This window comes from Homo sapiens, chromosome 15 (assembly GCF_000001405.40).
Source record: "Homo sapiens chromosome 15, GRCh38.p14 Primary Assembly".
Classification (NCBI taxonomy): Eukaryota; Metazoa; Chordata; class Mammalia; order Primates; family Hominidae; genus Homo; species Homo sapiens.
The window spans coordinates 74,068,832-74,083,713 of record NC_000015.10 but is presented as its reverse complement, the minus strand read 5'-3'; the positions used below and the strand labels follow the sequence as shown (position 1 = coordinate 74,083,713).

The 14,882-nt window shown below is 50.3% G+C and overlaps 1 protein-coding gene and 1 pseudogene across 1 annotated transcript; both read left to right on the top strand.

Moving 5' to 3' along the window:
- The first annotated feature begins 1,163 nt into the window (after positions 1-1,163).
- On the top strand, positions 1,164-13,857 carry GOLGA6A (golgin A6 family member A). Its single transcript, NM_001038640.2, has 18 exons — positions 1,164-1,288; positions 2,979-3,098; positions 5,025-5,105; positions 5,961-5,999; positions 6,261-6,311; positions 6,412-6,493; positions 6,590-6,696; positions 7,729-7,815; positions 7,924-8,031; positions 8,224-8,311; positions 8,713-9,221; positions 9,498-9,566; positions 10,897-10,972; positions 11,405-11,496; positions 12,058-12,160; positions 12,244-12,347; positions 12,437-12,590; positions 12,677-13,857. Exons 1-18 carry the CDS (start codon positions 1,205-1,207, stop codon positions 12,802-12,804), a joined length of 2,082 nt encoding a protein of 693 aa, NP_001033729.2. The 5' UTR covers positions 1,164-1,204; the 3' UTR covers positions 12,805-13,857.
- On the top strand, positions 11,038-11,260 carry RN7SL429P (RNA, 7SL, cytoplasmic 429, pseudogene; annotated as a pseudogene).
- Positions 13,858-14,882: the final 1,025 nt, after the last annotated feature.

The following is a 14,882-nucleotide window of genomic DNA, read 5'->3' as shown; positions in this document are numbered from 1 at the left end:
TGTGGAATTCAGGTAACAATCAATACACAGTGACATAACACAATTCTTGGTTTTCATGATTGCAAGTCATAGCCAAGTATCAAGTGAGAAATTCAGTTTCATTTGCAAGGCTTAGAGAGGCCAGGTGATTCTAGAAAAATAGGCCTTGTATTTGCTTTAAACCAGTAAAGAGCTTTGAGTGCTTATTAAATGGAAAGCTTTGTGTTTTTATTTATTTTTGACTATTTTATTTTATTTTTTTGAGATGGAGTCTCAGTCTGTCACCCAGGCTGGAGTGCAGTGGCGTGACCTTGGCTCACTGCAACTTCCGCCTCCCGGGTTCAAGTGATTCTCCTGCCTCAGCCTCCCCAGTAGCTGGGATTACGGGTACCCACCACCACACCTGGCTAGTTTTTGTATTTCGAGTAGAGACAGGGTTTCACCATGTTGGCCAGGCTGGTCTTGAACTCCTGACCTAAGGTGATCCACCCACCTAGGCCTCCCAAAGTGCTGGGATTACAGGTGTGAGCCACCACACCCGGCCCAAAAGCTTTGTGTTTTTAAAGATATTAGACATGTTTCTTGTTTTTTAAAAAATCTTAATAATGTAGGAGAATAAGAGAAATGTTTTTTCCAAAGCCGAGAAATCATTGTGATTATTTTACCTTATTGGGATGTTGGATAATATAGTCCACTTCATTCATTAATCATCAAACATGCTATGGATTTTCCATTTTTATAGGATTTGTGTCTTAACTGGGGTAATACTGGTAATTCTTATACTCCCTCTGAAGATGAAAAATGTAGGCCAAAATCATAGACCATGCATAGAAGCTGGATAATGAAGACAGCTCTGGAGGAACATGTAGACACACACACACTGACACACATATATATAAAGTATAAATACATATTTTTTTAAAGTTTATTTTTAACATTTTAAAGCAAAAACCAGCCCTCCCCTCTCCCGGAGTAGGCAGGCCCCGCCCCTCTCCCCAAGTGGGCAGGGACAGCAGTCGCATGGGCAGCTTTCCTTGTGATGTCACAGGTTCCTCTGGGCACACTGCTGCCTGGCCACGCCTCCTTTCCCTTTCATCTTTCTCATTGACCAATGGGATTGGAGCATTAAGGCCACACCCCTATTCTGCATTCTAGTGTGGCCCTGGTTACGCCTCCTCTGGCTCAGTCACACAGCAGCCTTGTAGGTGACTGGAGGTGTTCGCTGATGTGGCCCCAACCCTACCTCCCTCCCCACCCCATGATGTTAGAAGAATCTCGACAGAATAAATTGGCAGCAGCCAAGAAAAAGGTAAAAAGCCAAGAAAAAGGTCATGGCCCCCCAACCTAGCCAGAGATCCCCTCTGATGACAAGACCACTCCCAGAGTCCATACCACTCCTGAGGCACACCGGGCTGGGCCCCCCTACCCCGGCGCCTCTGGACTCCCCCCACCAACGTCTTGTCAGTCAGCCCCGCCCCTTCAGCAAGCAGCCCAGCCTCTGCCCTCGCCAATCACCCTGCGGTGACTTTGGGCGGATGACTACTGGGGATACCTGCTCCATATTCAGCCCTCACGTCCTGCCACCCCAAGCCCAACCTCCCTGGGTTCTTTGGGCTCACCTCTCCAAGGACCTGGGTCCCCCAGCCCCAACCCCCCAGCATCGCCAGTCATCCCGGGGTGACTTTGGGCTGGTGACTCCTGGGGTTCCCTGAGCAGACTCTGCTCTCCCCTCCTGCTGACCCAAGCCCGACCTCCCTGGGCTCTCTGGACTGGCATCTCCAAGGACCTGGGTCCCAGCCCCACGTCCCCCCTCCCCCATCGTGGATCGGCAACTCAGCCATTGCACTGATGAGGTTTCCCCCACCCCCAGGAGGAGTGGAATGTAGTGATGTCACAGTCCTCCTAGGAACTGTCATTACTGCTGCAAGACCGGCCTTTGATCTTATAACCCAGTCCCCTAAGCATTCTCACCCCATTTCTGGTTCCTCTGGTCACAGCACAAATTTCCAGCTAGAAGGGAAATGGGGACCATGGGACCTAGGAGCAAGAGGTTTCAGGCTGCCTTACTCCCTTCACATAGACATCGACAGTGTGAAAAGCCTACACTTCCCCTGTGAGCTCAAAACGTTGACAGTATCTCTGGGTGGTAATGGGAGAATGGGTTTGGTTTGGTTTTCTCCCAGGCTTCTACTCTCCAGAGAGACTTTAACATTTTTTTCCGAGTTCTCCACCTCATATTCTAATTCTCCACGGTTCTGGGACCAGACTGCCCTTCAGTCAGTGGTCTCTGAAGTGAGATTTGCTCATCTTCTGTGGAATAGGTCTTGGGAAACTGAACTTGACAGCTTGAATCTTCCTCATATCATCTCAACTTAGGGTACATTGAGTGCCACAGGATAAATGTGGGAGATCTTTCTGAAGCATCAGTTTCCCTTGATTCTCTTGAGAGAGAAAAAACATTAATGTACTTAGGGGTGACCCTCACATAGGTTTCTAAGAGTATACCAGACTTCTCTCTGAAATGAGACTTGGGTTGTCCTCTTTCTGATAAATTCCCAGATTTAACAAAAAAGCTGCCTTCTGCCATGAGGACACATTGATATAAAAGTTTGAGAGATACTGGTGCACTTCTTCACACTAACAGGCATTTGAGGATGTATGACTCTAAACCACACAGCGTGTAGTTCATGCCTATGTAATGTTTACTTTTCTACCTCTGCGTCTGGTTTTGGTCCCCGGCAGCTGCTGATTCATGGCAAAACCCCAGAGCTTGGAGTCAGAAGACTGAGTTTAAGTTCCATTATTGCCCCCCCACACTTTTTTTTTTAGCCATAATATCCATCCCTCTCAGTCACTTAAGTGATTGTGACAACACCTTGTACAGTTGTTGGTGGCATTAAATCAGATGGTGTATAAGAGTATTTTGCAAAAACTGTAAGGAGGGTGTGGCTGTAAGGGCTGGTAGTTCTCATGAGTATTACTGCTCTTCTTTCCCACAGCTAAAAGAATATCAGCAAAGGAAGAGCCCTGGTATTCCAGCAGGAGCAAAGACAAAAAAGAAAAAAACTGACAGTAGCCCTGAGACAACCACTTCCGGTGGTTGCCACTCACCTGGGGATGTGAGTCTTGGCTGGCCAGGCTCCTGGGGACAGGGGGCCCAAGGGGCAGTAGAGGGTAATTGTTGAGATTGCTGGGTACTGGTTAAGAATTCTGGGTTTGAATCCTGCTTCTTCATCTGCTAGCGATCTGATTTATGGCAAGTTGCTTGAGCTCTTTGGGCCTCTCTTTTCACATCTGTAAAATAGGGGTAGTATTGTTTGACTTCCATTTGTGAAGTTTAAATGAGATTCCTTATTGTTGTTGTTTTCATGTTAACCCCCAGTACGTGGCCTGCTGTAAACACCCAGGATACCCAGGAAATGGTCATTGCTGTTTGATTTTCCTGATCCCCACTCGCAAGGGGAAGCTGGGCTAATGAGTACAGCCACTTGCCATCAGGCTGTCCCTCTAGGAGTCACTGAAGGGGGCCCAGGGTGTGGTGAGGAGAGCCCAAGGCACTAGGAGCAAGAGAAGGTCTAACTTGCCACCAGCTTGCTGGGTGACCACAGAAAAATCACTTCTTCTGCTGGGCCTCAGTTTCCTCCTCTGTAAGATGATACTGGATAAGATCAGTGTCTTTCAAACTTGTTTTTTAGCTGAAGTCCCCTTAGTTCAAGTGAACTCTTACTCAGGAGTCTGTTTTTTTTTAATGGAGGTGGAGGTCTGGAGCTCTACCAGATTCATCGCCCATGTCCTGGGCCTGAGGAGAGGGGTCCAGTGAGCGTATTAAGATCTGCATTGGTCAGCTGACTCCACTCTGTGACTGCGTCACTCGGGGGACTTTTCCATCTATTTTTTCCTGCCCCTGGCAAGGCAGCAGGTGGCCATTTGGAAGAATGGCACAGGCCATGGTTTTAATCTCCTCTGCTCTTCTTCAGCGTTTCCTTTTCCTGAACCCACATCTTCCTCCTACCCTGACTTTCTTGCTTCTCTCTAAGCCACTTCTGTCTTTCACCCCCTGCCCTTGTTTTTCCCTTGTCACCTCCTGTAGATTCAGGACATTCTGAAGGTGCGGGTGTCCAACCTTAACCACTCCAATGGGGTAGTGCTCCCCCATTGGACAAGTGGAAGGTGAGGCAGTGCCAAGACCCCTCTCTGGCTTGCTGTCTACAGCTGTGCATGGCCCTGAGGCTTCTCTGGCTTGGGGGATGCTTGGCCTCTGCCTTGTTTTATGTTGCTGCCATTAACCTTCAGCCTGTTTCTGTCTGCTTCTTCACCTGCTTGATTGATTGGGTTTTTTCCTTCCCCGCGTCTTTTATTATCTTGGAAATGGTGACGCCTAAAAGTTTAAAAGTAATCTGGGAATAACGTACAGAGCAGGCACGTGGGATTTGGGCTCTTTTTTTTTTTTTTTTTTTTTTTTTTTTTTGAGACAGAGTCTCACTCTGTCACTCAGACTGGAGTGGAGTGGTGCGATCTCGGCTCACTACAACCTCTGCCTCCCGGGTTCAAGTGATTCTCTTGCCTTAGCCTCCTGAGTAGCTGGGATTACAGGCACCTGCCACTACGCCTGGCTACTCTTTGTATTTTTAGTAGAGATGCAGTTTCACCATGTCGGCCAGGCTGATCTTGATCTCCTGACCTCAAGTGATCCACTTGTCTCAGCCTCCTGAACTGCTGGGATTACATGTGTGAGCCACTGTGCCCGGCTCCTTGCTGTTTTTATACTTTCTCCATATACATAACTATTTCCCATGTAAGTTTTTTTTTAATTTCTCATTTTTATTACTCCTGCATCATCTGTTACCCTGAAGGATCTGGAAGTAAGAGGCCCTGGGCTGAGGTGCAGTGACTTTGCAGGCCAGCCCTCCAACCTCCTCTCACAGTGGGGGCTGGGTGACCCTCTGCCAGCTGAGACAGCCCACACACACCCCAGCCCTAATGATTGTTCTCTCTACCTCTCCCCACAATCCTCTTCCAACTCCTCCTCTCTGCATGTGCCTCAGAGCCAGTACCAAGAACTAGCAGTAGCCCTGGAGTCAAGCTCAGTGACAATCAGTCAACTCAATGAAAACATAGAATCATTGGTAAGTCCAGTGGGGTCCCCTGATTCCATGCTGCCAATCCTGGGCTTTAGTTTCCCCTTGGGGCCCTGAAGAAAGGGGCTGGGGGCCCCTGGTGCCAAGGGCAAATGGGGAGCTGGAGCACCCAGGCCTCACCTGGAGGGACCCCAGAGCAAGGAGCACGCAGCATGGCTCTTCTGTCACTGCCCTCTTTGCCGACTCTCTCTTCTCCAGACACCCCTGCTCCAGTCCTTGCCACACACGCCCTGAGGTTGTCACCTCTCAGGGAAGCGCTAGCCTGACTGGTTGTCAGGGGCCCTGTATTTCTGCCCTGACTCAGTCCCTAATTTGCTTTGAGTCTGGACAAGCCACCTGTCCTCCTTGGGCTTGTGTTTCTGGAGGAGGTAGAGCATCAGAGTTCTCTGTTAGCTCTGAGAGCCTGAGATTTAAAGGCCCCTAGAATGGAAACCTGAGGGCCAAGGGCTCCTGTCTGTCCTTTTCCATCCTATATCTGCTGTGAAGAACCGTAGCTGGCCCGTATGTGTTCAGTAAATATTTGTTGAATGAAGGCACCTTTCTAAATCACAAGCTGGCAGAAGGGTGGGCCTTCCTGAGACTCCCTCTCTAGGGGTTTATGTTACTGTCCTTTCAAGAGAATCCAGATTCAGACTTCGAGTTCTGTGGCTGTGGGCAAAAACCAACAAAGACCCAAGTCCTCTGTCCTTGGGAGCTTGAAGAGGGTTGACCAGTTTGTGTTGCCATTGGTTCTGAGAATGTTGCCTTTAAAATCCATTCCTGGACCCTGCCTACCGCTTCCAGGTCTGGGGAATAGAGTTGAGGGGGCCACTCTCAGTCACCTGAATTTGACTCTCCCCACAGAAACAGCAGAAGAAACAAGTGGAACATCAGCTGGAAGAAGTAACGTGATTTCTTTGCTCACAACATGACTGCTGGGTTTGGGGGACACTCAGATGCAGAGGCGCCAGTCTCATCTTGCCCACTCCCAGCCTGGGGAAGAAGGCTCACCCATCAGATTCCACCCCATCCCCACAGGGTCCCTGATAACCTGGTCCCATGGGTGGGCCTGTCCTGGGGCATTGGTGGCATTCTGGGGGCATGTCTCTTGCTGTGCCATCTCTGCCTCCCTGTGATAAGAGCTCTGTCTTCCTCTTCCTACAGGCAAAGAAAACAAACAATGAAATACACAAAGCACAAATGGAGCGGTTAGAGGTGAGTGGAGGGTGGGGAGCTTTCTCCTGTCCTCTGGAGAATGTTTCTTTCCTTCTCTTTCAGCATTTCCTTGGCTTTTCTCCCAAACGTTCAATTCCAGACAATCAACATCCTCACATTGGAAAAGGCAGACTTGAAGACCACCCTTTACCATACTAAACGTGCTGCCCGACACTTCGAAGGTGGGAATCTGGGCATCCCGTCATCCTTCAACCTGGCACTTTGACAGGTCTTTAGGGGGAGTCTTTTGGGCCCCATCTCAACCTCTCTCATTACAGAAGAGTCCAAGGATCTGGCTGGCCGCCTGCAATACTCCTTACAGCGTATTCAAGAATTGGAGCGGGCTCTCTGTGCTGTGTCTACACAGCAGCAGGAAGAGGACAGGGTGAGTCCAACCAGCTGCCCCATCCCCTGGCAGCCTGGCTTCCCAGATAGAGGAGTGAGCCTAAAGGTCCCTTCTGCAGGATGGAGTGTCCTGCCCAGAAGGCAGCATGGTCATTTCTCACTACTTTTGTGTATGGTTGTTAGAGGCAGCCTGGGGCTGAGTCAGCTGCTGTGGGTGAGTTGGGGGGCACTGTGGGGAGTGAGCACTGGATGCAGAGCTCAGAGGCCAAGTGCCTGCCCTGCCCTTTCCTGGCTGTGGCCTTGGCCAAGTCCTAGGTGGGGTATTGGGTAGTTGTTCTGTGAAGGTACAGAAGAGCACCTTTAGTATGTTACCATTTCTGTAGAGAGAGGAAAGGGGTGTGTGTGTGTGTGTGTGTGTGTGTGTGTGTGTGTGTACTATGATAATATACAAAAACATGTCTGCAAGCATTCATAAAAAACTCAGGAGAGAGTAACAGGGTGCCTGGAGACACCTCCCTTCTGTACCTTCTGAGTTTTGGACTATATGAATGTATCATCCTTTCAAAAAGTGAACAAAAGATTAATTTCCCCCTTCCTATCTGTGTCCCCACCCCCAGCAAGAAAAATGGGCTTAGAGAATAGGATAGACCTGGGTGTTCAAATCCCAGCTCTGTCTAAGTGATCTTAGGCAAGCACTTAACCTTGAACACTCGATGTTTTTCATCTACACAATAGAGGTAATCCTAGTAACCGTCTCATATGGTGGTTGTGAGGATTAAATGGGATTGCTAGCATGGAACCTGGTGAAGCACTCCATAACGGTTCAAACAGTGGTAGTAATAACAGTAATAACAATAGCAATATTATCTGATCTCTCTGGGCCTCTGTTAGCCAGCTGTAAATTCTATCTCTTTCCCTCTCCCTTCCAACTTTACTGAGTTCTTTTAATAACCAGGCCACGGGCTTGGAAATGCCTTGACCTTTACTGACCGAGTTGTATATTGAGCCTAGCCCTTTTAAGGGGCACTGCCTGAGCTCCCCAGATCAAAACTTCTCACTCTTCACCATCCAGTCCTCGAGCTGCAGAGAAGCGGTCCTCCAGCGGTGGTTACAGCAGACCATAAAGGAGCGGGCGCTGCTGAACGCACACGTGACACAGGTGAGGCTTTGCAGAGGGAGGGATGTGGAAGGAAGATGACCCCAGGTGGCCAGGAGCAGGTGAGGACCAGTGACAGCCCTTCCTAACTTCTGTGCCCATTTCTTGCAGGTGACAGAGTCACTAAAACAAGTCCAGCTAGAGCGAGACGAATATGCTAAACACATAAAAGGAGAGAGGGCCCGGTGGCAGGAGAGGATGTGGAAAATGTCGGTGGAGGTGAGGTCTGACCCTTCAGCCCCCACTTTAGATAGGTCACTGGATCTTTCTGGGCATCTGTAAAATGGGAATAGTACAGCCAGAGGTGGTCATGGGTCTGGGCTTTGTGGAGATGGGGACAGAGAATGAGATGGTAGCCTGTCCAGCCACCAGCCCCTCTCTCCAGGGCCCTTTCCCCTGTGCTTTGGGCAGGCTCGAACATTGAAGGAAGAGAAGAAGCGTGACATACATCGGATACAGGAGCTGGAGAGGAGCTTGTCCGAACTCAAAAACCAGATGGGTAAGATGGGGCTGGTGTGACCTCGGAGCAGGACTGGCATCAGAGGTCTGTGGGGGTGGCTTAGAATGCCCCAGGGAGGTGGGTGGGTGGAAGGGCTTTGAGGCAGAGGGAAAGAGGTCTGTGCCAGGAGACGGCAAGTTTTGTCATCTCCATGAGCCTCAGGGTCCCCATCAGCAAAGAGGGAGGAGTGCCCGTTGTCAGCCACCCACAGTGCTCTCTATGTGAAAGTGGCTTGGAAATTGGCTACCATTGGGTGCGAGGAATGATTAGCAGTGAGGCCAAGTTTGGGAAGCCTGAGAGGAGCTGTGCATCAAGAGGAGGTTTTTTTTTTTTTTTTGAGGGGGATGTGGGTAGAGGGGTTGGGGAATCCAGAGGCCCTTATTGTCTGCTTCATTTCTCAGCTGAGCCCCCATCCCTGGCGCCCCCAGCAGTGACCTCTGTGGTGGAACAGCTACAAGATGAGGCCAAACACCTGAGGCAGGAGGTGGAAGGTCTGGAGGGAAAGCTCCAGTCCCAGGTGGAAAACAATCAGGCCTTGAGTCTCCTTAGCAAGGAACAAAAGCAGAGACTCCAGGAGCAGGAGGAGATGCTCCGAGAGCAGGAGGCGCAGAGAGTGCGGGAGCAGGAGAGACTGTGTGAACAAAACGAGAGGCTTCGGGAGCAGCAGAAGACGCTACAGGAGCAGGGTGAGAGGCTGCGAAAGCAGGAGCAGAGGCTACGCAAACAGGAGGAGAGGCTGCGAAAGGAGGAGGAGAGGCTGCAAAAGCAGGAAAAGAGGCTGTGGGACCAGGAGGAGAGGCTGTGGAAGAAGGAGGAGAGGCTACAAAAGCAGGAGGAGAGGCTCGCGCTCTCCCAGAACCACAAGCTCGACAAGCAGCTGGCCGAGCCACAGTGCAGCTTCGAGGATCTGGTGGGTTGCCCCACCTGGGGAGCCTGCCCTCATCCCTATCCCTCCAGGCCTTTGTTTCCCCACCTGTAAAATGGGCCAGTGTAGCCCTCACATGAAATGCTACTTCTAAAGGCACCTGTGAGCTACAGCTCATCGGGCTCTGCTCTGATGGCTGTGGGGGAGAAGGGATGATTTTTCTAACCTGCCTCCACCCTTCCTGGTGATATGGGAGGCAGACACCAAGGTCTGGTGTCTCCAGCTGCAGTGGATGGCCACTGATTGCTTCTCTCTGTCCAGAACAACGAGAAAAAGAGCGCACTGCAGTTGGAGCAGCAAGTAAAGGAGCTGCAGGAGAAGCTAGACGAGGTGAAGGAGATGGTAACCTCCACCCCATCCAAGAAGGGCTGGGAGGCGGGCACCAGCCTCTGGGGAGGGGAGGTGCCAGGCCAAAGGCAGCTCCAGCTGGGAGGCAGGTGACCCCAGCACCCTCCAGTGCAGCTCTATGACTGTTTCTTGCTTCCTGCCCTCTGACTTTTAGAGGTGGGTAGCCCTGGGCTCCTCCCAGGTCTGGACATCATCATCCCAGCTAGAGACATGGAGCCCCCAATCACAGGGGAAGAGACAGTGGTACAAGAGGCTCCTTATCCAGGCACGGTGGCTCGCACCTGTAATCCCAGCACTTTGGGAGGCTGAGGCAGGAGAATCACTTGAGGTCAGGAGTTTGAGACCAGCCTGGCCAACGTGGCGAAACCTCACCCCTACTAAAATTACAACAACAACAACAAAAAATTAGCCAGGCATGGTGGCGCATGCCTGTAATCCCAGCTACTCAGGAGGCTGAGGCACGAGAATCGCTTGAGCCCACGTGGTGGAGGCTGCAGTGAGCTGAGATTGCACCACTGCACTCCAGCCTGGGCCACAGAGTGACACTGTCTCAAAACAAAACAAAAAAGCCTCCTTAGATTCAAACTGGATTCTGGCCTGGGTTCCACTGGTCACCATTCAACTACTGTTCATCTCTAAGTCTCTGTTTCTGTGACTTCAAAAGGAAGTTAGCATTTTCCTTGCAGAGGTGCTGAGGATTGAATGAGAGAATACCTGGAAAGCATTAGGCATGTAGCACACTTAGCAGATGGTGGTTGGCTCCCTCTGCTTTTCCACCAGTCTGTGGCCTACAGTTTAAATGGTGGGAAGAAGGACATGAGATTTGAGGCTGGGGAAGGAGGTATGGGGTTCTAGGCAAGGGAGGAAGCCTCTTAGGCCTGGAGCAAGGGACCAGGGTCCTGGGCAGGTGACAGAGCCCCACGGTGCCCTCGCTACCCTATTAATGGGCCCAGAATCTGGAAGCCAGCCGCCATGTGCCCTCATGCCCAGGGTCTTCCTGCAGGTGGAGCTGAAGAGCCAAGAGTCTCAGAGTCTGCAGCAGCAGCGAGACTAGTACCTGGGTCACCTGCAGCAGTACATGGCCACCTATCAGCAGCTGACCTCTGAGAAGGAGGCGCTGCACAGGCAGTTACTGCTGCAGACCCAGTTCGTGGACCAGCTGCAGCAGCAGGAAGCTTGGGGCAAAGCGGTGGCTGAGATGGCCGGACAAAAGTTGCAGGAGACCCAGGGGAGGGAGTTGCTGAGGACGGGGCCCCGAGGGGGATGACCTGGCAACCTCCGTGCCTTCTCACTCTGTTTCCCGTCCCCTTAGGAGCACCTAGAAGCTGCCAGCCACCAGAACCAACAGCTAGAGACCCAGCTAAGCCTCGTGGCTCTCCCTGGAGAAGGTACAGGAGACCACTCAGAGGAAGAGGAGAGAGCCCCAGGAGGAAGGGGGGACTGTTAGCAGCATAGGATTGAGGGGTTGGAAGAGACCTTTAGAACAGCTGGTCGTTATGCCAACCGGGTGTCCGCACTAAGTTCAGCATCAATATGGTGACCTCCTGGGAGCAGGGGGCCACCAGGTTGCCTAAGGATGAATGAACTGGACCAGATCAGAAAGGGAGCAGGTCAGGACTCCCGCACCGACCGGTAGTGGGACTGTGCCTGGGCAATATAGCAAGATCTTGGTTCTTAAAAGGAAAAATAAAGAACAGCAGCTCACTCCCCTCTGGGGAGAGGCTGGCTCAGGGTTACACAGTCAGGGTGGGGACAGAGGTGGGCCCACAGTACCTCCCTTGTTGGGTTGTCTGAGGACCCCTCTGGCCACCTCCCTACAGGAGATGGAGGACAACATCTGGACAGTGAGGAGGAGGAGGCGCCTCGGCCCACGCCAAACATCCCAGAGGACCTGGAGAGCCGGGAGGCCACGGTGAGCCTGACTTTCCCTGCCCCGCTTTGCCACCTTCCTCTGTGGTCCCTCCCAGACCCCCTTATGCTCTTGGTTTTCCCACCTTCTGATTGCTCTGGCCCCTCACCCCTTCCGGGAGCCAGTGGTCAGACACTTTGTCACCTGTGACCAACAGGTGCACTCTCTGAGGCCCCAAGGGAAGGGGTTGTTCTCCACCTCCCTGCCTCATTTGTTCTGTCTATGCCCCTACAAGAATACTCACCTCTTGCCTTCAAGTGGCATTTTTCACCTCTGCTGGAGCCAGTTCCCAGGAGGAGCAGGCACGGCTATGTGGGCAGCGGAAGGTGTGAAGGCTGTGCTGCCTGCACCTGGCTCATCTGTTGGCCTTCGCCTGGAAGGAGCCAGAGGCAGAGGCCCCAGCCCCAGGGAGTGGGGGTGAGTTTGTGTGTGGGGAGAGCTACCGGGCCCTGAAGGAGGCCATGGTGAAGCTGAAAGGGAGTGAGTCCTGGCATGGGCCAAGAAAAGTGGGGGCGGGGCAGAACAGGTCACTCCCGAGATGTGACCCCATTATTTTGGCTCCAGAGCAGCTTTATGGACCTCCCGAAGGAGAAGGCGGACGGGACGGAGCAGGTGGAGAGACGAGAGCTTGGATTCGTCCAGCCTTCTGGAGTGACAGACGGCATGAGTGAGCGGGAGGCCAGGGCACGGGCACGGGGAGCTGCAGGGCCGTCGGAGGGACCCTAGTGTCTGAGCTGTGTCCTCTCACAGGAGAGTCCTTCACCGTATATGAAAGCCAGGGGGCAGTGCCAAACACGCGGCACCAGGAGATGGAGGATGTCATCAGGCTGGCCCAGAAGGAGGAGGAGATGAAGGTAGGGCGTGCAACATCTCTGCGGGGTTGGGGGTGGGCATGGGCGCTGGTGCAGGCTCCAGGGTGGGAGCTGAGCACCCCTCCCTTCAGGTGAAGCTGCTGGAGCTGCAAGAGTTGGTGTTGCCCCTTGTGGGCAACCATGAGGGGCATGGCAAATTCCTCATCGCTGCCCAGAACCCTGCTGATGAGCCCACTCCAGGGGCCCCAGCCCCCCAGGAACTTGGGGCTGCCGGTGAGCAGGATGGTGAGTAGAGCTCTCAGGCGGGGTGGGCAGGCAGGGGCAGGGGAGGCTCGCACTGTGCTCAGACCCCCGCCTCCCTCTCTCCGAAGTTTTTTATGAAGTGAGCCTGGACAACAACGTGGAGCCTGCACCAGGAGCGGCCAGGGAGGGTTCTCCCCATGACAACCCCACTGTACAGCAGATCGTGCAGCTGTCTCCTGTCATGCAGGACACCTAGGAGCACCCAGGCTTGCCCAGCAAACCCTGCGTGCCATTCTTCTACCAGGCAGCCGAGAACAGGGAGATAAACATCATCATCTTCTAAGAGCTGGTCAAGAAATTTAAAACAACAACAACAACAAAAAGTTACGGGGTTCATCTCCTACACAATTCATTTACTCCATTTGAATGCTAGAGCCACTCACATTTATTTGTGTTTCTAATTTACCGTTTAAATTTATTTGTAAAAAGTTAAGGGAGAGTTGGTCTTTCCCTGATGTTCTTTCTGGCATCCTTTAGCATTTTTATTTTTAATTTGATAATTGTAGGTCATTAGTATGCATATCGAGTTTGCCCTTAGGTGGTGGGAATTCAAACACACAAAGACCCACTAATTTGCACAAAACTATTCTGGCTGGTTTGGAACAGGCTGCCATGCTTTTTTAATGTTATTGCAGCATGTATATTCATTCCAGAATTCAGATAAAATGTGCTTATGTTCTGCTATTACGTTTGATCGAATCCTAACCACAGTGAGCTCTTCATTAGCTCAATATGTGGTTTGCCCTCAATTGAGCACTGTTTATTACTTTGTAATATGCCACTGTGAGTACTGACATTTAGAGTTGTTTAAAGGCCAAGAACTGGAAACAGCCTTTTCCCTATTTTCTGTGTATTGGGGATGGGAGTAATAACATTTTGGGGAGCTTTTTAAATCTCACAGAAGAGGAAAGTGGCCTGCTCTGGCAGGTGTGTGCAGGATAGAGTGTGTTTCATTTGTTCTGGTGCCAAGAATGAGCGCTGTACTATGGTAGTTCCCTTAGGATTTGTATGTGCTCTGGGCTCATGAAGATATTGCATCATGAGCTGCAGCAGTTGTACCCTTTCTTGATGACCTAAAAAGGGATTATTTCTGAGGAATGAAAGGCTCCCATCATTGACTGTGGATGTGGAAAACCTTTTCTAGCTTAGAGCATTTATATCTACAATACATTTTAAAGTCAGAGTTCATGTTACCTGTTTTAATCACGAGTATATGTCCCAGTACACAAAAGGGCACTGGTTGGCATTCTTCTTAAGGTATTTAGTGAAGATCATAAGAAATCCTTTAAGAGTTTAAATGTCCCTGGAAGAGGCATACAGGCTCTAGTCAAGAATGAATTCGAGTGAAGGAAAGCTGTGTGACACCTGGCCTTCCTCTATGTTCATGGAGCTTCTTTGAGGCTAGAAGATTGATTTTATCATCTAGACCTCTCTGGCTAATACCTATTCTTCAGCCACATTAGTTACTCTGACATAGGAATTTACTTCTTTTCTTTGAATGGAAAACACTTTAAAAATAATAACAACCATTATTATAAACCAATATATGTGAGAGTACTTAGTTGAAACAAAAAGGAGTTTTAGTAGACAGTATTATACTACACATGAAAATCAAGGCGAAGTTTATGCAACTTAAAATGTTTACAAGCTGCAGTGCAATCTAATGTTTGTGAATGTCCAAGTATTATGAGAAAAAGTGTCTATACAATGACAGACTTATGTTTCCTCACAAAGTTCTTCACAAAGAGTGAAATATGTTTTTATACCTCTCAGTTTCAGTTAGAGGCATATTTTGTGCCATATTTATGTTAATGTGCCTATACGTGATGAGTGAATTATTTCAGTCATACATTGCCTAAATCATAACTTTAAGATGCTTGGGAAAGAATCAACAGCTAAAAGTTCATGAAGTTCTAATGTCTGTGTTCCAAAATACGTCACAGTATTAGGATGCAGGGAGAGATGTGTGTGCGCTCCCTGGGGTGGGCATTTCTAGTTACTAGACCATCTCCATTTTTAGCATTTGGCATCCTCATGATACTTTTATACATATGACATTAATAGGAGAGCAATAATACGATTTTACAGATGGAATAACAGATGTGCCTGCATTCAGTGAAAGAGTGCAAATATTAAGTCCTTGTGACTTCAACTGACTCTTCCAAATTGTATGAATTTATCAATGTATTAGATAAACTCAGTTCCAGAATTATAAAGAAAAACTGTTAGACCAACGAATGTGGCTAATTAACAGTAGGACGATTTCTAGCCCGA